Source organism: Homo sapiens, chromosome 1 (genome assembly GCF_000001405.40).
Source record: "Homo sapiens chromosome 1, GRCh38.p14 Primary Assembly".
NCBI classification, from domain to species: Eukaryota; Metazoa; Chordata; class Mammalia; order Primates; family Hominidae; genus Homo; species Homo sapiens.
Window position 1 is genome coordinate 112,894,810 of NC_000001.11, and position 23,302 is coordinate 112,918,111.

At 43.0% G+C, this 23,302-nt stretch overlaps 1 protein-coding gene and 1 long non-coding RNA gene across 4 annotated transcripts in view, besides 8 other annotated features; one reads left to right on the forward strand and one right to left on the reverse strand.

The window, feature by feature from the left end:
• Nucleotides 1-1,360: 1,360 nt before the first annotated feature.
• LOC124904342 (uncharacterized) lies at nucleotides 1,361-17,657 on the forward strand. The gene is made up of 2 exons (XR_007066442.1): nucleotides 1,361-1,590; nucleotides 15,056-17,657. It is a non-coding gene; the product is annotated as an uncharacterized LOC124904342 (long non-coding RNA).
• Nucleotides 2,775-3,318: an enhancer, noted in NCBI's record as "NANOG-H3K27ac hESC enhancer chr1:113440206-113440749 (GRCh37/hg19 assembly coordinates)". NCBI's record gives its function as "activates a minimal SCP1, AML or CMV promoter by ChIP-STARR-seq in naive H9 embryonic stem cells {active_cell/tissue: H9 hESC(naive)}" and the evidence as "EXISTENCE:reporter gene assay evidence [ECO:0000049][PMID:30033119]".
• Nucleotides 7,486-8,419: an enhancer, noted in NCBI's record as "H3K27ac-H3K4me1 hESC enhancer chr1:113444917-113445850 (GRCh37/hg19 assembly coordinates)". NCBI's record gives its function as "activates a minimal SCP1, AML or CMV promoter by ChIP-STARR-seq in primed H9 embryonic stem cells {active_cell/tissue: H9 hESC(primed)}" and the evidence as "EXISTENCE:reporter gene assay evidence [ECO:0000049][PMID:30033119]".
• Nucleotides 8,420-9,351: an enhancer, noted in NCBI's record as "H3K27ac-H3K4me1 hESC enhancer chr1:113445851-113446782 (GRCh37/hg19 assembly coordinates)". NCBI's record gives its function as "activates a minimal SCP1, AML or CMV promoter by ChIP-STARR-seq in primed H9 embryonic stem cells {active_cell/tissue: H9 hESC(primed)}" and the evidence as "EXISTENCE:reporter gene assay evidence [ECO:0000049][PMID:30033119]".
• Nucleotides 8,420-9,552: a biological region, named in NCBI's record as "Sharpr-MPRA regulatory region 4510".
• Nucleotides 9,258-9,552: an enhancer, noted in NCBI's record as "tiled region #4510; K562 Activating DNase matched - State 5:Enh, and HepG2 Activating non-DNase unmatched - State 23:Low". NCBI's record gives its function as "activates a minimal TATA promoter and a strong SV40 promoter by Sharpr-MPRA in K562 cells, with weaker activity in HepG2 cells {active_cell/tissue: K562 | HepG2}" and the evidence as "EXISTENCE:reporter gene assay evidence [ECO:0000049][PMID:27701403]".
• Nucleotides 11,355-11,914: an enhancer, noted in NCBI's record as "NANOG-H3K27ac-H3K4me1 hESC enhancer chr1:113448786-113449345 (GRCh37/hg19 assembly coordinates)". NCBI's record gives its function as "activates a minimal SCP1, AML or CMV promoter by ChIP-STARR-seq in naive H9 embryonic stem cells {active_cell/tissue: H9 hESC(naive)}" and the evidence as "EXISTENCE:reporter gene assay evidence [ECO:0000049][PMID:30033119]".
• Nucleotides 16,255-16,866: an enhancer, noted in NCBI's record as "OCT4-NANOG-H3K27ac-H3K4me1 hESC enhancer chr1:113453686-113454297 (GRCh37/hg19 assembly coordinates)". NCBI's record gives its function as "activates a minimal SCP1, AML or CMV promoter by ChIP-STARR-seq in naive and primed H9 embryonic stem cells {active_cell/tissue: H9 hESC(naive and primed)}" and the evidence as "EXISTENCE:reporter gene assay evidence [ECO:0000049][PMID:30033119]".
• Nucleotides 16,867-17,477: an enhancer, noted in NCBI's record as "OCT4-NANOG-H3K27ac-H3K4me1 hESC enhancer chr1:113454298-113454908 (GRCh37/hg19 assembly coordinates)". NCBI's record gives its function as "activates a minimal SCP1, AML or CMV promoter by ChIP-STARR-seq in naive and primed H9 embryonic stem cells {active_cell/tissue: H9 hESC(naive and primed)}" and the evidence as "EXISTENCE:reporter gene assay evidence [ECO:0000049][PMID:30033119]".
• Nucleotides 17,038-23,302, reverse strand: part of SLC16A1 (solute carrier family 16 member 1) — a 44,350-nt gene continuing 38,085 nt past the window's right edge. For all 3 annotated transcript variants that reach the window (NM_003051.4, NM_001166496.2, XM_047428789.1), the window contains exons 4-5: nucleotides 22,369-23,235; nucleotides 17,038-19,356 (exon numbers count right to left, since the gene is read on the reverse strand). In NM_003051.4, coding sequence (NP_003042.3) covers nucleotides 19,082-19,356; nucleotides 22,369-23,235 — 1,142 coding nt within the window. In that variant the 3' untranslated portion in view covers nucleotides 17,038-19,081. The remainder of the gene's footprint in view (nucleotides 19,357-22,368; nucleotides 23,236-23,302) is intronic.

Below are 23,302 nucleotides of genomic sequence, written 5' to 3' on the forward strand. Positions count from 1 at the left end.
CAGTGAGGGGCTTAGCACCCAGGCAAGCAGCTGTGGAAGAGGCGCCGGGTCCCCCAGCACTGCCAGCCTGCCCGCGCCGCCTCAAATTCTTGCCGGGTCTCAGCCACCTCCTTGTGGGGCAGGGCTCGGGACCTGCGCCGCTGCGCTGCGGCGCCCCTTCCCATCGACAGCCCAAGGGCTGAGGAGTGCAGGTCTGTGGTGCAGGACTGGCGGGCACCTCGGCCTGCGGCCCTGGCGGGGGGATCTACTAGGCAAAGCCAGCTGGAGAACTTTTATGTCCAGCTGGAGGATTGTATATGCACCAATTAGCACTCTGTGTCTATCTCGGGGTTTGTGGATGCACCAATCAGCACTCTGTATCTAGCTAATCTGGTGGGGACTTGGAGAAATTTTGTGTCTAGCTAAAGGATTGTAAATCCTTTAGACACCAGTCAGTGCTCTGTGTCTAGCTCAAGATTTGTAAATGCACCAATCAGCACTCTGTATCTAGCTAATCTGGTGGGGACTTGGAGAACTTTTATGTCTAGCTAAAGGATTGTAAATGCACCAATCAGCACTCTATGTCTAGCTCAAGGTTTGTAAACACACTCTGCACCCTGTGTCTAGCTCAAGGTTTGTAAACGCACCAATCAGTGCTCTGTGTCTAGCTAATCTAGTGGGGACTTGGAGAACTTTTACGTCTAGCTAGAGGATTGTAAATACACCAGTCAGCACTCTGTGTCTAGCTCAGGGATTGTAAACTCACCAATCAGCACCCTGTCAAAACGGACCAATCAGCAGGATGTGGGTGGGGCCAGATAAGGGAATAAAAGCAGGCTGCCCAAACCAGCAGTGGCAACTCGCTCGGGTCACCTTCTGTACTGTGGAAGCTTTGTACTTTTGCTCTTTGCAATAAATCTTGCTGCTGCTCACTCTTGATCTGGACTGCCTTTATGAGCTGTAACACTCACTGCGAAGGTCTTTAACTTCACTCCTGAAGCCAGCGAGACCATGAACCCACCGGAAGAAAGAAACTCCGAACACATCTGAACATCAGAAGGAACAAACTCCGGACACACCATCTTTAAGAACTGTAACACTCACCGTGAGGGTCCGTGGCTTCATTCTTGAAGTCAGTGAGACCAAGAACCCACCAATTTCGGACACACTCCTAGAATAAATTCATTCAATTTCAGCTGATTTGACACATCAGATTCTCACTTTTGCTCTCTTGCTCTTTTCAACTTTCTGTCTATTCAGTTTTTGCCTTTATCAATTTCTTCATTCTAAAACAACCTGTGGGCTAAGTGCGGTGGCTCATGCTTGTAATCCCAGCACTCTGGGAGGCCAAAGTGGGTGTGTTACTGGTGGGTCCTTGTTCTTAGAGCTCCCAAGATGGTGGCGGGCTGCTCCCAAGATGGCGGCAAGCCTTTTCTTCTCTGACCTGGAGTTCTTGGCCTCCCAGATTCCAAGGAATGGAACCTTGGGCCATGTAGTGAGTGTTACAGCTCTATTAGAAGTCGTGAGTCACGGAAGAGAACTGTGGAACCCAGCAACTAGTGTTCAGCTCCATCAGGACGAACCTAGGCACTTAGCTGCGCAGGAACAATGGTGAGTCTCTAGCCCCATTGGGAGCAGCAATGGGCACCTCGCTGGATCAGAAGCACAGCCTGTGGTACTGCTTCTCTTGGCCTGTGTCCTCAAACCTACTGTCAGTCAGGATCTGGGCAGGAAACCACTTCTACAATTTTTTTTTTTTTGAGACAGAGGAGTATCACTGTCTCACCCAAGATGGAGTACAGTGGTACTATGTCGGCTCATTGCAGCCTCCGCTCCCAAGTTCAAGCTAATTTTTGTATTTTTAGTAGAGACAGGGTTTCACCACATTTGCCAGGCTGGTCTCAAACTCCTGACCTCAGGTGATCCACCCACCTCGGCCTCCCACAGTGCTGGGATTACAGGCATGAGCCACTGAGCCAGGCTGTGCTGGCTATTATCTGAAGTTATTTTATGGTTGTTGACAAATAGAAAAGTACTAAAAATATCACAGAAGCAAAGAAACTGAAAAACATGATTCTTCCTTGTATTTTAAAAAAAAATTTTACTTTTCATGATTGACCTGCCATCAAGCCATTATTTTTACAGTGCATTTCACTTATAGGTTGAATTTATAGTCTTATGGTCTTAAATATCTATCAGAGACAATATAAACTTGTTTGACTAGGAAATCTAGGCAAAAACAAACAGTTCTTAAAACAGTTTCATTTTTATTTTATCAACCATTTAAAAACTAGCTTTACTTACCAAAGATTACCCCATATCATATGAATTAAAAGGCAGTTGGGCTATTTCCTAAATTTCTGAGAGTTTTAGGGATATTTCATTTATATTAGTGCTCATTTAACTCAGCTCAAGTTTGAATAGAACTCCTTTAGGGGATTTTATAAATTAGTTTAGAAATACCATCTGGAGGGAGAAAAAATATCAAATATACAAATCATACATAACTAAATATACATTAAGATGGATACGAAGATCTTATAGCTTTTATTTTAAAATTTTAGTCACGAATCAGTAATACAATTGGCTTATCTCCACTTATATTTTTATTCAAATTGTGCTTCTGACAAAAATCGGACAAGTTAAGGCTACTTGCTCACACGGCTAAAGCATATTTTAAAAATAAAATTTGTGGAAAAGACAATATTTTTTGGTTGCCAGTTTCCAAATAGTTTCTCCTCCTTTTTTAAAAAGAAAAACCAAGCTTCTTTTTTTTTTTTTCATTCTATTTCATTTTATTTTGTCTTTTCTTTTTTTTTTTTTTTTTTTTTTACATTTTTTTTTTTTAATTTATTTATTGATAATTCTTGGGTGTTTCTCACAGAGGGGGATTTGGCAGGGTCATGGGACAATAGTGGAGGGAAGGTCAGCAGATAAACAAGTGAACAAAGGTCTCTGGTTTTCCTAGGCAGAGGACCCTGCGGCCTTCTGCAGTGTTTGTGTCCCTGATTACTTGAGATTAGGGATTGGTGATGACTCTTAACGAGCATGCTGCCTTCAAGCATCTGTTTAACAAAGCACATCTTGCACCGCCCTTAATCCATTTAACCCTGAGTGGACACAGCACGTTTCAGAGAGCACAGGGTTGGGGGTAAGGTCACAGATCAACAGGATCCCAAGGCAGAGGAATTTTTCTTAGTGCAGAACAAAATGAAAAGTCTCCCATGTCTACTTCTTTCTACACAGACACGGCAACCATCCGATTTCTCAATCTTTTCCCCACCTTTCCCGCCTTTCTATTCCACAAAGCTGCCATTGTCATCCTGGCCCGTTCTCAATGAGCTGTTGGGCACACCTCCCAGACGGGGTGGTGGCCAGGCAGAGGGGCTCCTCACTTCCCAGTAGGGGCGGCTGGGCAGAGGCGCCCCTCACCTCCCGGACGGGGCGGCTGGCCGGGCAGGGGGGCTGACCCCCCCCACCTCCCTCCCGGACGGGGCGGCTGGCCGGGCGGGGGGCTGACCCCCCAACCTCCCTCCTGGACGGGGCGGCTGGCCGGGCAGAGGGGCTCCTCACTTCCCAGTAGGGGCGGCCGGGCAGAGGCGCCCCTCACCTCCCTGACGGGGCGGCTGGCCGGGCGGAGGGCTGACCCCCCCACCTCCCTCCCGGACGGGGCGGCTGGCCAGGCGGGGGGCTGACCCCCCCACCTCCCTCCCGGACGGGGCGGCTGGCCAGGCGGGGGGCTGACCCCCCCACCTCCCTCCCGGACGGGGTGGCTGGCCGGGCTGAGGGGCTCCTCACTTCCCAGTAGGGGCGGCCGGGCAGAGGCGCCCCTCACCTCCCGGACGGGGCGGCTGGCCAGGCGGGGGGCTGACCCCCCCACCTCCCTCCCGGATGGCACGGCTGGCCGGGCGGGGGGGCTGACCCCCTACCTCCCTCCCGGATGGGGCGGCTGGCCGGGCGGGGGGCTGACCCCCCCCACCTCCCTCCCGGACGGGGTGGCTGCCGGGCGGAGACGCTCCTCACTTCCCAGATGGGGTGGCTGCCGGGCGGAGAGGCTCCTCACTTCTCAGACGGGGCAGCTGCCGGGCGGAGGGGCTCCTCACTTCTCAGACGGGGTGGTTGCCAGGCAGAGGGTCTCCTCACTTCTCAGACGGGGCGGCCGGGCAGAGACGCTCCTCACCTCCCAGACGGGGTCTCGGCCGGGCAGAGGCGCTCCTCACATCCCAGATGGGGCGGCGGGGCAGAGGCGCTCCCCACATCTCAGACGATGGGCGGCCGGGCAGAGACGCTCCTCACTTCCTAGATGTGATGGCGGCTGGGAAGAGGCGCTCCTCACTTCCTAGATGGGATGGCGGCCGGGCGGAGACGCTCCTCACTTTCCAGACTGGGCAGCCAGGCAGAGGGGCTCCTCACATCCCAGACGATGGGCGGCCAGGCAGAGACACTCCTCACTTCCCAGACGGGGTGGCAGCCGGGCAGAGGCTGCAATCTCGGCACTTTGGGAGGCCAAGGCAGGCGGCTGCTCCTTGCCCTCGGGCCCCGCGGGGCCCGTCCGCTCCTCCAGCCGCTGCCTCCCGGGCGGCGCTCGCCGGCGCGGCGGCAAAGACTGAGACAGCTCCGCTGCCCGCTGAACTCCATCCTCCCGGCCAAAACCAAGCTTCTTAACAAAGATCCTGAAGTGTTGAGTTTACTAATTTAGTTAGGAACTTTCCAATTTAGCTTTTGCTTTTAACCAGATTATTGAGTTCAGGGTGGAGCTCATTGACAAATAAGGCAGACAAAGCATTTTCTGTGTCTGGGCTCAGCATACATAGCTCTGAGCTTAATAATTTGACTAGGGCATAAAGGTGGTTAAAGAAGCAAACTTGACTGACTTGAGGGCTTAACTTTTATAAACAGTTTTTCTGGCTTTCTTTTAAACCATCAGGGTGGGATGGTCACTAAGTAAACAGGTTAGCAGATTCGATTTTTCTTATCAGTTTGTTGCTTAAAGCTTTTCATTTGCCTTTTTAAAGGAGACCTTTAGAGAAGCAATTTTTTGAAACCTAAAATCTGGTTAGAGGCTTCTGTGTATCGAAAATAGGCATCTCATCTGTTTGTCTAATTTGAGAGCCCTTACTTTCAAATGTGCTTCTTAGATGGATAATCTTGTCCATCTGGAATGTTCTCTATAATGTCCCCTGTAATTCTAAATTGTCTTTGATAAAATTTCACCACTTTTTGGCCAGGCACAGTTGTTCATGCCTATAATCCCAGCACTCTGGGAGGCTGAGGCAGGAGGATTGCTTGAGCCCAGGAATTCGAGACCAGCCCGAGCAATGCAGTGGGACTCCATCTCTACAAAAATGTTTTTAAATTAGCCAGGTGTGGTGATGTGCACTTGTGGTCCTAGCTACTCAAAAGGCTGAGGTGGAAGGAATCACTTAAGTCTTGGAAGTCAAGGCTGCAGTGAGCCATTATCATGCTACTGCACTCCAGCTTGGGTGACAGAATGAGACTCTGAAAAAAAAAATCACCATTTTTGTTAGAATTTACAGCTTCCAAGATGAAAATTTTTGTACATAAAAAGGCAGGCACGGGTGTGGTGGCTCAAGCCTGTAATCCCAGCACTTTGGGAGGCTGAGGCAGGCAGATCACCTGAGGTCGAAAGTTCAAGACAAGCCTGACCAACATGGAGAAACCCCGTCTCTACTAAAAATACAAAATTAGCTGGGCATGGTGGCGAATTCCTATAATCCCAGCTACTCGGGAGGCTGAGGCAGGAGAATCGCTTGAACCCAGGAGGCGGAGGTTGCCGTGAGCTGAGATTGTGCCATTACACTCCAGCCTGAGTGACAGAGCAAGACTCCTCTCAAAAAAATAAATAAATAAAAATAAAAAGTAAAACGCAGGCATACTGGAAGGTGGAGTCCTAAGTTGTTTAGCATATTGGGTTTCTCAGATGAGATGCCTATTTTCTCAATATGAGAGCTGAGATAAAAGCCTAAGAGGGAAATGTCAAGAGGTTGGGTCGTGTGATGTTTTCAGTGTTTCTTTTTGCAAGGAAATTTTCTTAAGGCTCATGGGTAACCTAGCGTCAAACTAAACCTTATCCTTTCTTTTTCTTTCTTTCTTTCTTTCTTTCTTTTTTTTTTTTTGAGACTGAGTTTTGCTCTTGTTGCCCAGGACGGAGTGCAATGGCGCGATCTCGGCTCACCACAACGTCTGCCTCCTGGGTTCAAGGGATTCTCCTGCCTCAGCCTCCCAAGTAGCTGGGATTACAGGCATGCGCCACCACACCCAGCTAATTTTGTATTTTTAGTAGGGACGGGGTTTCTCCATGTTGGTCAGGCTGGTCCCCAACTCCTGACCTCAGGTGATTCACCCACATCACCCTCCCGAAGTGCTGGGATTACAGATGTGAGCCACAATGCCTGGCCAGCTTATCCTTTCAGTAGTTACATATTTAGGTGATAGGTGATCTAACAGCTTTTGGGTGCCCTTCCCATACCTGTCAATTAAGTTGTGGTTTGGCACCAAGATTCCTTAGCCAACATAGCCAATGATCTTTCCCTACCTTAGTGTGCAAGAAAAAGAAACAAAGAGGAGATAACCCAAATCCCTGTGAATTTCTGAAAAATAGTGTCTAACACCCCCTGCAGTAACTGCCATTTGCTGCAATCACTGTCAGTTATCTTTAAAAGTGTGATTCTTTGGTAGCGATGCAACAATCACCAAAAGTCCCAAAGATCATTTACTCTGCTACAACACAACCTTTGGCACCCAAAAGCCAAAATAATCAGGAGCTCAAATACAAAGAGTTGGCCCTGGTAGGAACTTACTCATGACATTGGGAGCACTGTGAGGAAGTCAGGGGACTCTAAAGGAGTAAGGAGCACCTTATCTGCATCCTTCAGTGGCCTCAGGGTCATCAGCCTTCTTCAAGTCCTTTCATGTTCACCAGAACTGTTAGAAAATTTCAATAAATTTAGTCTAAAGATCGAGTTGGTTTTTATTAGCAATTCATAAATCAAACAGCATCTCATCTAAAAATAGGTAAGTGCTCTGCTAGGATGGCAAACCAGTTTTTGTTTTTGTTTTTTTTTTTTTTTTTTTTGAGATGGAGTCTTGCTCTGTCACCAGGCTGGAGTGTTAGTGGTATGATCTTGGCTCACTGCAACCTCCACCTCCCGGGTTCAAGTGATTCTCCTGCCTCAGCCTCCTGAGTAGCTGGGACTACAGGCACGTGCCACCATGCCCAGCTAATTTTTGTATTTTTAGTAGAGATGGGGTTTCACCATGTTGGCCAGGATGGTCTCTCAATCTCTTGACCTCATGATCTGCCCGCCTCGGCTTCCTAAAATGCTGGGATTACAGGTGTGAGCCACCATGCCCAGCCTAACAGTTGGTTTTTATAAGATAGCTAGAGCAGGAGTGAGGAAACAATAATACCAAAAGCAGATTGTTAACATCAGGTTACTTCAGGTTACTTTCCTTGTAAGGGTTAAAGGAGGAGACTTCCTTAACATGCTGGTTCAGGTTGACTGGGCCTCTTCAGACTGGTTGCTATGAATCTTCTGTTTTTAGGAAAAATTGGTCTAATGGGGAATTTTCTTGCTTCCTTAAAGTTTCAACTTGATTGCATGACACTTAGCATAAGTGACTCCATTTTAATTTGTTTTGTTGGGGCCTAGTGCAGGAGCTCAGTCCAAAACAATGGCTTCCCATACATTTTATTTTACACCTTTACAATAAATGGGTAAATGTAAGTAAAGCATTTCCCTTAATTCTGTGAGCCACTCTAGCAAGTGATTGAACCCAAGAAAGGGTCTAATTTGTAAAACCTCTAATTTGTAGCTAAGTTGGACAGAAGTTGTGAGTAACATGAAGGTCTACTATTTGCAGTTGGAGTGTGAACGTGTGGAACTGAGTCTTTTTTTTTTTTTTTTTGAGACAGGGTCTCACTTTGTCACCTAGGCTTGAGTGGAGTGGCGCAATCTTGGCTCACTGCAACCTCCACCTCCTGGGTTCAAGCAACTCTCCTGCCTCAGCCTCCCAAGTATTTGAGATTACAGGCGTGCGCCACCATGCCCGGCTAATTTTTTGTATTTTTAGTAGAGATGGGGTTTCACCATGTTGCCCAGGCTGGTCTGGAACTCCTGAGCTCAGATGATCCACCCACCTTGGCCTTCCAAAGTGATTGGATTACAGGCGTGAGCCACCACGCCTGGCCTGGAACTGAGTCCTTAATCTGTGTGATCTGACACTATACCTAGGTAGATAGTATCAGAATTGAGTTTAGTTGTAAGACTCTCGGTGTCTGCAGAAAATTGGAGAATTGCTTGATGTGGAGAAAAATCCCTACACATTTGATCACAGGAGTGTTCTATGTTCAGTGTGAGTATAGAGAAAAATAATTTGCTTTTCCTATTCAGTAGCCCACAGGCCCACTGGGATCTCCTCTGTTTTCTGCCCTTCATCAGACTTGGGCTTGGGAAACACTCTGCCTTTGTTCACTTCAGTCTCCGAAATTTGGCCTGTGGACTTTTAGGGTCCTCATCATGCTATGTTGTAAGCACTGATTTCCTTTTCATGCCACCAACAGATTTAAAGCTTCTTAAAAATACAGACCAGGCTTTATTCAGCTTTTTATCTTAACCTAGCCCAGGGCCTGGCACACAGTCTGTGTTTAACAATGCTTGGCTGTCAGTTCTACCATGGTTCCTACATAGCTTTCTCTGGATGCTTTTCTCCAGGAGAAATGCAGCACTATTTTTCTCTACCTGGTTGAAATGCCACTTCCTGCAGAAGCTTCCCCAGGCCCTAAAATCACATGGCATACTTTGTGTGTGGTTCCCTCTCATCTCAAGAAGTTCACAGTTTCGTAGGGATTTAGAAGAGCAAACTAACATGTACAATGCACTGCAGTGCTAGGAAAAATTGTGAAAGACTTTTAAATGGGCAAGTAATGACTGGGTGTCTTTCAATGGAATGATGTGTGTTACAATTCTACCCTACAAAAGTGCTGGACTGTTTTATAACTCTGTAGAAATGAAGGTTAATGGGGAGGCCTGATGATGGTGTAGATGTTTTCTGTCTAGAGCTGGATGCAGGATGCAAACAACTCTGTTCATGGCAATGCAACTAAATACATTTTGTCCAGTACAGAACAAACCGCCCAAGGGGTTCACCTTGCCCTCTGCCTAGACAGAGCATTCATCAAGACAGAGGAATTGCAATAGAGAAAGAGTAATTTACACAGAGCCAGCTGTGTTGGAGACCAGAGTTTTATTATTACTCAAATCAGTCTCCCCAAGTATTCAGGGAGCAGAATTTTTAACGATAACTTGGTGGGTGGGGGAAAGCCAGTGAGCCAGGAGTGCTGATTTGTCAGAGATGAAATCGTAGGGAGTCGGAGCTGTCTTCTTGCACTGAGTCACTTCCTGGGTGGGGGCTACAAGATCAGTTGAGCCAGTTTTTCAATTGGGTGGTGCCAGATGATCCATCAAGTGCCGAGTCTGCAAAATATCTCAAGCACTGATCTTAGGAGCAGTTTAGGAAGGGTCAGAATCTTGTAGCCTCCAGCTGCATGACTCCTAAACCACAATTTCTAATCTTGTGGCTAATGTTAGTCCTACAAAGGCAATCTAGTCCCCAGGCAAAAAGGAGGTCTGCTTTGGGAAAGAGCTGTCTTTGTTTAAACTATAAACTAAGCTTCTCCCAAAGTTAGTTCGGCCTATACCCAGGAATGAACAAGGACAGCTTGGAGGTTAGAAGCAAGATGGAGTCTGTTAAGTTAGATCTCTTTGGCTGTCTCAGTCATAATTTGGCAAAGGCAGTTTTATAAGTAAAATTCCATTTTAAACAGTTATAAAATCCTACTAGTTTCCTCCTTAATTCATGATTTAAATAAATGTATGTTCATTCTCTGTGTGAGTTATGCTTTTATCATTTTGAAAACTATTCTTTAATAGTGGTATCTGTGAAAGAGTAAGCAAAATTAATACACAGTGAGCATTTATTCCATGTCAGGCACTATGCTAAGGGTTTTATAGATTTAATCATCATGGCGACCCTGTAAGTTAAGTTCTATTATTAGTTCCATTTTACAGATCTGGAAACCAAGGCCTAGAGATTAAGTAACTTTCCTAAGGACCCAGAGCTAGTAAGTGGCCTGAGATTTGAGACCTGAGATTTGAAAGACTTGCATTGTAACTGCACTTCAGTCAAGAGGGCAATTGAAATGAAATTGTGGGATCAGGTAAGGCTTCCAAATTTCGGAGGATAAGGTGTTGGTGCAGAGGGAAAAGAAGGGCGGGGCTTTCAGGTACAGGTCAGCCCTAAGAAATGCAGTTGGCCTGGAGAGCAGGGTGTGGGCTGAGGAGTGGTAAGAGATAAGGCTGAAGGAAACTTCAGGAGTTTCCTTCACAGAGGAAGGAAATCACGGAGAGCTCTGTGAGGCCAGAAGCCAAGGAGTTTGGACTTTATCCTCAAACTACAGTATTTTAAGCAGAAAAAAAAGACATGATTAGATTGAGTTGTATTATTTTTATCTTTATTGCTTTTGTTTGTAGTTATAAAAGAGGTATAGGCTTTTTTTAAATTGTTGTTAAAACAAAACAAAACATGGAGAAATTTGGCCCTTCTAGAAAAATTATTTTGGCAGCACTGTTGAGGCTCGATCCGAAGTGGTGAGTGAGAAAAGAGGGAAGCTGTTGGAAACTAAGCCAATAGCAAGAAAAACGAAGAGGAGGGGATGGAAAGGAGAAACAGTAAGCTAGCTGAATCTACAGGATTTGGCAACTGTGGCATGTCGGGGGTAGGAAAGGGTGGGAAGGAGGGGCTAGTGCACAGGGAGAGCCCCATCAAAGTACCTAGCTCAGAAAACCTACTGCAGGCCTGGTTACTCATTCTTAGCATGTAAGAACTGAGATAGTACTTGAAATTTAAAGCGAAAAGCATTGATATCAAGTTTGTACAACACCCATTCTAAAAAGCATATACAAATAGAGCCTGACCAAAGTACCCAGGCCTTTTTTTTTTTTCTTTTTTGGCCTCAAGGTGGTTAGAAGCGGGAGACAAAAAAGGGTGTTGAGAAAGGAAAAGAAAGATAAATCACAAAGACTATAACCATTTAAACCTTCTGTTGACAATTACGCACATACAGATTGTCAGCACACCAGGTGACTTTTAATCCCGGTCCAGTTCCCCTCCTGGCCCTCTTAATGGCTTCTGGCCACTTCCTCTTGGGATCTGGCCAGAGTAAGCTCAGGAAATGCAAAGTTTTAATTCTGGAATCAGTAAAGCATATTAGGAAAGGAAATCCACAAGTGAAAAAAACATCACATTATGCATTTTGAAGCCAAGGGACAGAATCAGATTGTAAATTTGTGGGGACAGGAACCATTTTACACATTTTGGTGCAGAACTCAGGGATTGGTTTAGCCATTATTCCCCCTCAGGTTCACCCAGGATTTGGTCTCTTGCATTCTTGTATGATTCCAAAGCTTCCATCCAGCACAACCTTCAGCTCTAGCAGTTAAGCTGTCTGCAGTCCCGCTTTGTGCTCCCTGACAGCAGGGGAGGATAACCCGCCAAGATGAAGGCCCAGATAAAGAGTCAGTATCTTTAATTATACTCACTTCCCTAGGATTTTGCAGGATCAGATGATAGAATATATTTGAAAGGCCTTTGTAAAATTGGATGAGCTATACAATCACTAGCTGTTCTTTATTCATTGTTGTTCTGGTTGATGACCTAACTGATACTTGCTACACTGCATTGCAGAATGTTCAAGGAGATTCAGATTTTTACAATGACTATGCACTTAATATATTAATGTTACTATGTGCTCAATGGTGTGCTGTGTACTTTCACATGTAATCCTCAAAATAATTTTATCATGTTTATCAAAGATCAGATAGATTAACTTGCTCAAAAACATAATTTTTGATTTTTTATGCTCTCCCAAGATTGGATTAGGTTTTGCCATGTGTTACCACACCACAGAAGTTACTACATATCTTCCCCACTACACTAGAAGCTGTGGGTGCTAGGAACTATATTTTGTTCACTGCATTATGCCCTCTATCCAGCTAATGGAGCCAGGCACAAAACATACATGCTACAAAAAATAGTTAGGGTGAATGAATGAAGGCTGATTTTATATCCATTGCTCTATTCTGAAAACTACTGTTTTCTTAATAACTTACTGTTCATCATCTATTTTTCCCTACTAGAATGTAAGATACTTGTGAAAACATATCATTTGTTTTATTCACTGCTGGATTCTCAAAGTCTGGAACAATGCCTGGGATATACTAAGTGTCCAATAAATATCTGTTGGTGAATGAACAAACGATAGCCACGTGGACAAGCAAATTCCACCTCTTTTTGTCTATCACTATATTTTTTCTTTTTCTTTTCTTTTTTTTTTTTTGCGATGGAGTTTCACTCTTGTTGCCCAGGCTGGAGTGGAATGGCGTGATCTCACCACAACCTCTGCCTCCTGGGTTCAAGCGATTCTCCTGCCTCAGCCTCCCTAGTAGCTGGGATTATAGGCATGCGCCACCATGCCTGACTAATTTTGTATTTTTAGTAGAGATGGGGTTTCTGAATGTTGGTCAGGCTGGTCTCGAACTCCCGATCTCGGGTGATCCGCCCGCCTTGGCCTCCCAAAGTGCTGGGATTACAGACAAGAGCCACCATGGCTGGCCTTGTATTTTCTTTTTTCTGATGCTGATCTCAATAAGATAACGCTCAAGAACAACACAACACTGTGATGTGGGTGAGCGGCTGAGAGCTGAACACTCTGGCTTCCTGAGGTAAATACTTGCAGCTGAATGATGATTAGAAAGGAACCACAGGAATGCTGTCTCCAAGAGCACTGCCTGCAAGAAGAAGGCACAGGTGGCCAGCACTGGTGGCCTGTGGACTCTACACTTCACAGCTTTGGTCCAGCACCAGCAAAATAGTGATGCAAGACTATTGTGCTCTTGAGTTCCATGTCACACTCACCTCTCTTTCACCAGAATGCAACTCTTGGAGAAGCAGAAAAAGTAATGTGCTTATAACAATTAGCTTGATTTTCTTAGGAATCAAGTGTCTCTTGCTAGAACTCTTCTAGATCACATGCATAGTTTTTTCTTTCTGTAAACCAGTAGTATATGGTATGTTGTTTTCTTTTAGTATAAAAGTAACCATCGTATTAAGAAAATTCTGAATATGGAAAAAACATAGAAAACAGTCACCTAATTTTACCACACTAACAAAATTATGATTGGTATATATGTGCATTTTCTTTTTCCCTGTGCTTGTGTATGTATGTATTAGGCATATATATCTACACATATCATACTAGGTTTTTTTTTTTTTTTGAGACAGAGTTTCACTCTTGTTGCCCAGGCTGGAGTGCAATGGCATGATCTTGGCTTACCACAACCTCCACCTCCCGGGTTCAAGCGATTCTCCTGCCCCAGCCCTCTGAGTAGCTGGGATTACAGGCATGCACCACCACACCCGGCTAATTTTGTATTTTTATAGAGACAGGGTTTCTCCATGTTGGTCAGGCTGGTCTGGAACTCCTGACCTCAGGTGATCTGCCTGCCTTGGCCTCCCAAAGAGCTGGAATTACAGGCGTGAGCCACCACATCAGGCCTAGTTTGTGTTTTTTCACTTAATATTATGCCGTTTTTGTATCAAAGGGACTTCATAACCATATCCATCTAACTACTTATTAAGGCCAGGTGCAGTGGCTCATGTCTGCAATCCCAACACTTTGGGAGGCCCAGGCAGGAGGATTGCTTGAATTCAAGAGTTGGAGACCAGCCTAAGCAACACAGTAAGATCCAGTCTCTATAAAAGTTATAGTTATGAGGTCAGGAGTTCGAGATCAGCCTGGCCAACATGGTGAAATCCTTTCTCTACTAAAAAAATACAAAATTAGCTGGGTGTGGTGGCATGTGCCTGTAATCCCAGGTACTCAGGAGGCTGAGAAAGGACAATTGCTTGAACCCGGGAGGCAGAGAGCTGAGATTGCGCCACTGCACTCCAGCCTGGGTGACAGAGCAAGACACCATCTCACACACACAAAAAAGTTATAGTTAATCCCAGCTACTTGGGAGGCTGAAGTGGGTGGATTGCTTGACCCTGAAAGGTTGAGGCTGCAGTGAGCAGTGACTGATAGTGCCACCTCATTCCAGCCTGGGCAACAGAGTGAGACCCTGTCTCCAAACAAAACAAAACAAAACAAAACAAAACAAAAACAAAAACAAAAAACAAAAAAAAACACTGATACCCAACGTAAGAATTTTTCAAAGAAATTGACAATTTCAAAGACAGGCAAAAACTTTCTTAGAAAAATTTCAAAATCTGAAATTTTTAGGAAAAACGAGTTCCTCGTGCTTGATACATCTTACAATATTGCCTTCCCAAAATGTTATACCAATTTACTCAGCCACCAATAGGTAATAATTTATCATTTAAACTGTCATGATGTAGTAGGGAAAATAGATATTTCATCAACCTTTCCATTTGCATTTAAATACATTGCTAGGGATAAAGGACTTTAGCCAAGATTATTTACTAGTTTTATTTCTTCTCTTATAGAATCATTAGTTATTGAGGGGAAAAAAGTTTATCTGCTACTAGTACGGCATCTTTTCCCTATGGAGGGGACTGTGGTATTAGAGTAGAAAGACTAAGGACTTTGATATTCAAATCCATCTTACGTGAAAAGCCGGTATATATGAACCATTTGGTGAAGTGTTAGTTTCATCCGTTCATTTACCAAAAAAAGACCAATACATTGGGAAGACAAAAAGGAGAAGCTGATCAAAAAGGAGTATTTAATTGTTTAGCTAATATTCTTAAGAGTCACTCCAAAACCATCCACTGCAAGTAAGAGTCCACTTCAGGAATTCTCATAGCCTTTTTACCCCTAAGCATGAACTTTTTAAATAGTCAAGTGCATACACTTATTAACCTTCTTGACAACCCTAGCGGTGGGTACTAATTATTATTAACACCTTTTATTAGAAAAAAAACCCTGATGCTTAGGGAGGCTAAGTAATTTGTCTGATCCTCAATTTGAACCTAGGCAGCCTCCCTTGTTAACCAACCAGTAGGATGTGATTCCTTTTGCTATACATCTCCTCTGGGCAAGTCAGAGTAAAAGCAAAAAGTAAATATACTGATGCTCTTCAGCTGAGGAGAAAGATACTCTTCGCTCTACAGCTTCCAACTGCTTACATTTGAATGACTTTGCCACAATGACCCAGACTGAATGGAGGAAAAAAGAGTGACTGAATCTAAAACCCTAAAGCTGGAACACATTTCAGGTAACAATGTATGTAAACTGCCACCCCTCCCCGCCCAGATTCTTTTAAAGTCTGAAGCATCTTGGCTCAATTGCTCACATTTAGGCAAGCCAGGCAAACTTGAGTTGTCATTTCCCATCATGTACTGAAAGAATGGTCACAGTTACAAAAGTCTATCATTAACCTCTTTCTTCATGTCTTCTAAGCAATGCCTGACTTGATTATTAAAACAAACCATGATGGCGGGGCACGGTGGCTCATGCCTGTAATCCCAGCACTTTGGGAGGCTTTACTGTTAACCTTTTCCTCATCTTTCTAAGCAAAAGTGTGTGTGAGGGGATGGTGGTGAGGGGCATACCTGCACTGATGATTAGACTTATTATGCTGTGAACCATTTCCTAGGGAGGGTAAAACCCAGACATTTAGCTTTTTCATACAAACATGCAACCAATATCCAGTTTATCAATCTGAGATTTAATACAATAAGCCATTTGTTCATACAGAAATATTAAATGGTTTTTAACCATTTTTTTCTTTTTATTTTACCATCATCCTTTCCTTAATACGATACATAGTTTTGTACAAACTATGCATTCATGTTGGCTAGTTAAGACAGTTTATAGATTTGGGTATAACATGGTAATATGATATGATTTATGTTACCATGATCTGCAGTTGTTCAGCCTCTCAGTTTCTTGAAGACTTTTCCTGCTTTGACTTAGGAGCCTATTTCAGAGCGTGACCCCTGAACAGCCCCGTGCCTTTTCAGGCACTGCAACTACCTACGAACTGTCTATATTCTCTCTGTGTTATAGAGAAAAAGAAAAGATAAGCAGGTGCTTTATGCGTACATCTACTTTCCCAAAGCAGCCACTGAAACCATGTTAACTGAAATAAAACTTCAAATGCAGTCAATCTTCAAATGGAGTAAAGGACAACAGACTAGATCAGAAAGCCCAGTTGCTTCCAGTGTTGACCTGCATCACAGAGATGATAAGCTGATTGTTAATAAAGAGAGACTCAGAGTAGGCCTATGTTGAGCTTTAGTGTGGGCTCTGTTACCAAAATTGATTCTGAATAAATCCCTTAAGCCTATATATTCAGCGGCAAAATGTCAGGGTTGTACGGGTAATAAAACATTTAGTTCCAGCTTTGAGCCGGTTATAGGCATACCTTAAAGATACTATAGGTGCAGTTCAAGACCATGGCAATAAAGCAAGTCACACATCTTTTTTTAGTTTCTCATTGTATATGAGTTATGTTTACACTGTATCCGGTAGTCTTTTTTTTTTTTTTTTTTTTTTTTTGAGACGGAGTCTTGCTCTGTTGCCAGGCTGGAGTGCACTGGCGCGATCTCAGCTCACTGAAACCTCCACCTCCTGGGTTCAAGCGATTCTCCTGCCTCAGCCTCCCGAGTAGCTGGGACTACAGGCGTCCACTACCACACCCGGCTAATTTTTATATTTTTAGTAGAGCTGAGGTTTCACCATGTTGGTCGGGCTGGTCTTGAACTCCTGATCTCAAGTGATCTGCCCACCTCAGCCTCCCAAAGTGTTGGGATTACAGGCCTGAGCCACTGTGCCCAGCATGTGGTACTAACTTTTGCTTCTGAATACAGCAACTTCAGAACCCTTGTGATAAGTGGTGGTTAATCTGCATCACAAAACCCTCACTCCACTAACAAGATTCAACTATTGAACAGAGATTAAACGGAAAGTGCTATGTGGATATGACTTCAACAATAAAGATGAGGAAAAAGTTATTTATACTTGCTTTACTTTTATTTTTTCAGATTTCCTTTACTTACATTCCTTATTCCCTCACCAACAGTAATCCTCATTTTTATAGAAGGTAAGAGAGAAGAAGTACGCAGAGGTTACAGACTTGGGTCCAAAGAAAATTACAGAGTCCAAACTGAGGCCAAGCCTGCCAATACTCTCAGCAGCAGTTTTCTCCTCTAACACTCTTCCTCTATCTGCCATGATGCCCAGGCATACAAAGGGAGTTTTTCATTGTTTCCTTAAGGTTAACTGCTCTGGATGCTCTCAGTTCAAATAAGATGGTTTTAAAATTCCCCTCCTCCTTGCCTTACAGCAAAGAAGAGGAAAGGAGAAATTCAAATGAAAATAAATCATATACACAAATATCAAGGTTCAAAAGCTGGAGGATTTAATTCAATCAATTTAGCAAGGCCCAAAATGAAACCTGGTAATGAAAATGAAGACACAGCAATATTTTCCTCAAGAAAATAGACATTTGGGAGAAGAAATGTTTTCTTAAAAAATGTTTATTTGGAAAAGTCAGCCTCTTACACAAGGTTTTGTATCTATACTTTTACTCTGTCAATTACAGTGGTATTTTAAATGCATTGAATATAATTCATTGAATGTCTGTATCTTTCTGCCTCGATTTAAGTGATATTAGGTTAAAAAAATATTTACAGTTTTCATTCTGGTCCACCTTCCCTCCTTATCCTTATACTGAATCCATTTCTCTACTTTTCAGGTAAGTGAAAGGGGTCACAAAATTTTTAGGTTTGTGTGGAGGGTAAAAATGCATCCAGCAATTCTAAGCACAACAATTTTCTGTAAGGCCTTCTCTGAAAAAAGAGAAGGAATTACTTATTAAAACTAAGCACACTTAGCAACTTCTTTCCCAATCCTATCTTTATTCGTTTGCCTGGTGCCAAATTTTTCTGGCCCTTTTTAATTTGCAAACCTTAAAAAAAAAAAAACAAAAAAACAAAAACACCAAACACACACATATCTCACACATAGCACTAAGCTAGAAGCAGATATAAATGGGACCACTGTGAATCAAAGGGGAAAAATTCCAGGAAAAAAAAATTCCAATAGCTTCACAGTTTAACTGAGGTTTTGGAAAAACTTAAGTGAATTCAGCTGATGTTTGAAATATCTGTCTACATTTAATTAGATGTGTTGTATTTACCAAGGAGGCACAAATATGTAGTTCTGTAGATTTTAATACTAACTTTTCCAGTAAGAAAAATAATACCAGGTGATTTCAAAAAGGGCAGTGATCTATAAACACTCAAAATGCATCTTTGAACAGGGGAGCAGAAATAGCTAATTTAATGAAAACAAACCTTAAGCACTTTACTTGGCTTCTAATAAGCATCCCAAGAAAAGGTACCTGAGAGGGGTTGACAAGTACACTGTGTCTAGAACAGCCAAGATGTTGCCAAAGTTTTATGCTTTGAATTTCCTAAATATATAGCTAGCAGAAACATATGCCAGAAATCTACTGATGCTAGGAAAATATTTTTGTCAGCATTTTGTAAAATCTCTAACTTTCAACCAATATTTCTGTTCATAAATCTTCCAGTGAAAATGTCTGAAATATATTACATGTAACAATGAAGCAAGATTAATTTTAAATTTTAGATTTGCCTCAAACAAGTTAGTTGTTATTTTTCCTTTTAACACAACACTCGAAATAGATGAATTCAGCAAAAATGGTTTAAGAAGTTAAGGCTCTCTAGAGTTCTAAAGACTAAAACTTAAGGCACATATTATAATCTTTATGACACTATTAAAAGCTAAGATTAAAACAAAACAAAACAGAACCTACTTCTTTCCCCCATCCTTTGCTACCAATCATTCCCTCCTCAAATTCAGGCTATTGGTAAGGAGTCAAACAAAAATCCCATCAATGAACAACTGGTATGATTTCCACACAAATGTCTACTATTTGCATTGAGCACCACTGGTAGATTACAGGCCAGTAGAATATTTTCAGATATCCTGGGTCATGAACTGCTCAATTTACCCTTCAGCCCCATGGATTCAGACTGGACTTTCCTCCTCCTTGGGCCCTCCATCTGTGTCTTTCTGGTCCGGAGATTCTGCTGCTTTGGTAACTTCATTTGGCTTCCCAGCAACATCTATACTGGTCTCTTCCTCTTTACTTTCCTTTTTCTGCTCGTTTGCTTTCTGTTCTTTTGCCAAAAGTCGATAATTGATGCCCATGCCAATGAAGAGATAGATACCTGAAATAATTAGGACGACGCCACATGCCCAGTATGTGTATTTGTAGTCTCCATACATGTCATTGAGCCGACCTAAATATGTAAAACAACACAAACAGTTGTTTCTAAGAGTAAACAGTTTTTTTTTCCCCCAAGCAAAGCTTAAGGATCCATTCAGAAAGATGTCAATCCAATCTTTAAAGAGTCCCAAAATGATGAATTAGTATAAGGAATTGCTGAAAATTAGCTGATCCTCTGTTTATAATGCATCATGGATTTTAAGTGGCCTTTGCATATTCTGTTATTTTTAGTAACTTGAAAATAGTTAACTCTTGGCAAACTGGAAATGGAAGAGACGTAGTGATCACCTAGAGTCAATTCTCTTAATACACTATAGAAATAAGTGTTGCTAAAAGAGGCTTGGGAGTCTTGTCCAAGGCCATAGTGCTGTCCCATTTACCCAGGCCAATGCTCTTTCTCTCTCAGCATTTCCCAAAGAGTATTCCTGTAAACACTTGTCCAGTGCTAAAAATTTAAAAGCAATATCTTACACCCATTCTAAGTGCTTAATCTTTATAACAGGCAGATTCTATTATCATCCTCACTGGACAGATTTAAAAACTAAATTACAGAGATGTTAGCTAATTTGTCCATGGTCACAAAACTAATAAGTGAAATGACTTGGCTTTAAACCTAGAAAGTCTGACTCGGAAGTCTGCACCCTTAAGCATGTGCTACAAGGATACTGCTTTAATGTTTCAAAAGTCAAATGAATTGATAAATGGCATATTATTTTCTCATAAAGGCTTTGTGAAGTCTGGTAGTAAAGAACCCTATTTAATTTGATGTTTACAAATTTTATTTTGGTCATGTAACTTTCATTACTGTAAAATTTATTAGCATCTCATTGAACTGGTATCTCTGGGAAAATTCTACTCTATGCTTAAACAGGACTTAATACAACCAATTTAAATATGATTCCATATGGCTTTCTAACTCAGGGCATCATTCATTCAACAATATTTATTGAGCCTTTATCATATACCAGGCACTGGCTCAGCTAAGCCCTGAGGATAAGGGTGAACAGAGGATCCACAGTTCAGTGGACAAGAGATGTTAATCAAGTAACTACACAAACTGTGACAAGTACTACCAGGAGAGTTTGAAAGAAGTGGGGTCAAGAAAGCTTTCCTTAAAGTGTCAACTTAGCTGGGATTTGCAGGATAGGAATTATCTAGGAGAAAGGAGATGGGAATTAGATCCAGGCAGAGAACTGTAGTGCAAAGGCGCAATGGTAGGAGAGAGCATGGTGTGTGAGGGGAAAGAAGGGCCAGGTTGCTGGGGCACAGAGAGCAGGAGGCCAGTGGTAGAAATGAGGCTGGAAGGACAGCTGGGGCCAGCCCATGCAGTGCCTTGCAAGCCACATTAGGGAATTTGCTTTTCACCCTGAAAGTAATGGGAAGCAACTGGAGAGTTTTAAGAAATCTTGAAGAGTTCTGAACTGGAGACTTCAAGGAGACTGAAGAACAGCTAGAACTGATACAGGTAGACCAGTTAGGAGGTTACAGTTAGGAGCAGCCCAAACAGGAGACAGGAGCTTTGGATAAGGGTAGTAGTTGTGATGGAGAAAAATGGGCAGATGAGAACAAGATTTAGAGCATAAAAACTCATAGAACTTAGTAACTCACTGGGTATGAGATGGAAGAAGACAGTGATCTCAAAAGGCAGCTATGGATCTTCTGTTATATACTCACTCACTCCCCAAATCAAAGTTCCTAAAGTATGAGTCACATCCAGAAGAAGGGTCAAATTATTTTTTCACTATGTGTTATGTATTGAGCTATTAATTTGAAAGATAAAGTATTCAATAACCTTCAGGAATAGTTCCCAAGTTGTAATTAATTTTCTAGCTGTATGATTTTAGCCAAGTTATTTCACCTTTTGAAGCCTCTGTTCACTTACAAAATGGGGACTTAAAACGGTCCTACCTCATATGGACTTGTGAGATACAACAGGAGATACAAAATGATAAGGACAGTCTCTGGTACACTGTGAGCTTACATGGTAGCTATTATTATACTACTGCTACTGAAATAAACTTTTTTTTTTTTTTTTTGCTTTTTGTGTGTTTTTAAAAAATTTATGGATCAGGCATGGTGGCTCATGCCTGTAATCCCAGCACTTTGGGAGGCCAAGGCGGGTGGACCACCTGAGGTTAGGAGTTCAAGACGAGCCTGGCCAACATGGTGAAACCGTCTCTACTAAAAATACAAAAATTAGCTGGGCATGGTGGTGGGCGCCTGTAATCACAGCTACTTGGGAGGCTGAGGCAGGAGAATTGCTTGAACCCAGGAGGCAGAGGTTGCAGTGAGCCGAGATCGCGCCATTGCACTCCAGCCTGGGCAACAAGACCAAGACTGTCTTAAAAAAAAAAAAAAAAAAAAAAAAAACTTATGTGAAATATACTTCATTTTTAAAATGAAATAATCACTAGCGCTTTAAAGATTGGGTTGTTTTTCTACATGCTTTTCTACACTAAGCACATCAGTTTTGCGATCAGAAAAAAACATATTTTAGGCCAGGCACAGTGGCTCACACCTGTTACCCAGCACTTTGGGAGGCTGAGACAAGTGGATCGTTTGAGGTCAGGAGTTAGAGACCAGCCTGGCCAACATGGCGAAACCCTGTCTCTATTAAAGATATAAAAATTGGCCAGGCATGGTGGCATGCATCTGTAATCCCAGCTACCGGGAGGCTGAGGCAGGGGAATCGCTTGAACCTGGGAGGCGGAGGTTGCAGTGAGCTGAGATGGTGCCACTGCACTCCAGCCTGGGCAACAGAGCAAGACTCCATCTCAAAAAAAAAGAAAAAACACTGACATTTGTAACAATATTTGATCCCCCTTTTGCCTTGATGGTTCCATTTAATTAGATTCTATATTTGAGCAATTATGCTGTGCCAAGCATTGTCCCAGCATCAAGGGTACATAAATGAGAAAGATTTATTCTTACCCAAATAGCTCACTAATGTTTGCTTTCTGTCAGCATTCCCATCTTACATGCTTGTTTTGTAATAGACCCACATTAGTAGGGAGATATACTATACCTAAAAGTGGTGGCCCCAGGAGGACAGGACAGCATTCCACAATGGTCACCAATCCCACAGCGCTGGAGAACCTCTGGGGTCCAACAAGGTCCATCAATGTTTCAAACAATACGGAGCTGAGCCACCCGAAGGCAAATCCAAAGAATCCCGCATAGACACAGAATCCAACATAGGTAGTGGATAAAGGTGCTAGCATATGACACACTCCATTTGCAACAACGGAAGCCGCAAAGAAATACTGAATTCGAGGTCTTATTGGCTTTGTGTTGGCTACAAGTCCCATAGATGGTCGGGCTACCATGTCAACAAAAGCCAGAATGGAAAGAAGGAAGGCAGACTTCTCACTAGAATAATGCTGACTCTTCCCATAACTACTAAGAAACACCAAAGGTGCAAAGAGTCCAAAAAACATGATCACATTTCCAGAGAGGTATAGCAAAAAGCCTCTGTGGGTGAATAGGGTTAAGTCCAGGAACTGATTAATTGTTTGGAAGACTGATCGTTTCTCTTGTTTAGGGTGTCTTCCAATAAGATCTGTATTTGCATCATGCAGATCTTTTTTCACACCAGATTTTCCAGCTTTCTCAAGGGATGCTTTAGACTTATCTTTCCCTGCCTTGGTTGGCTTGGGCCCGATTGGTCGCATGAGGGCTCCAGCAACACAGCAGTTTAGTAGCAAGCCCCCAAGAATTAGAAAGCTTCCTCTCCATCCAAAGATACCGAAGAAAACCTGATTGAGGGGGGCCAGAGTACAGAGGAACACAGGGCTGCCTGCCATGGCCAGTCCGTTGGCCAATGGTCGCCTCTTGTAGAAATACTTGCCAATCATGGTCAGAGCTGGATTCAAGTTGAAGGCAAGCCCAAGACCTGTGAAGACAATAAATAAATAAATAAATAAATAAATAAATAAATAAATAAATAAATAATAAGAGGT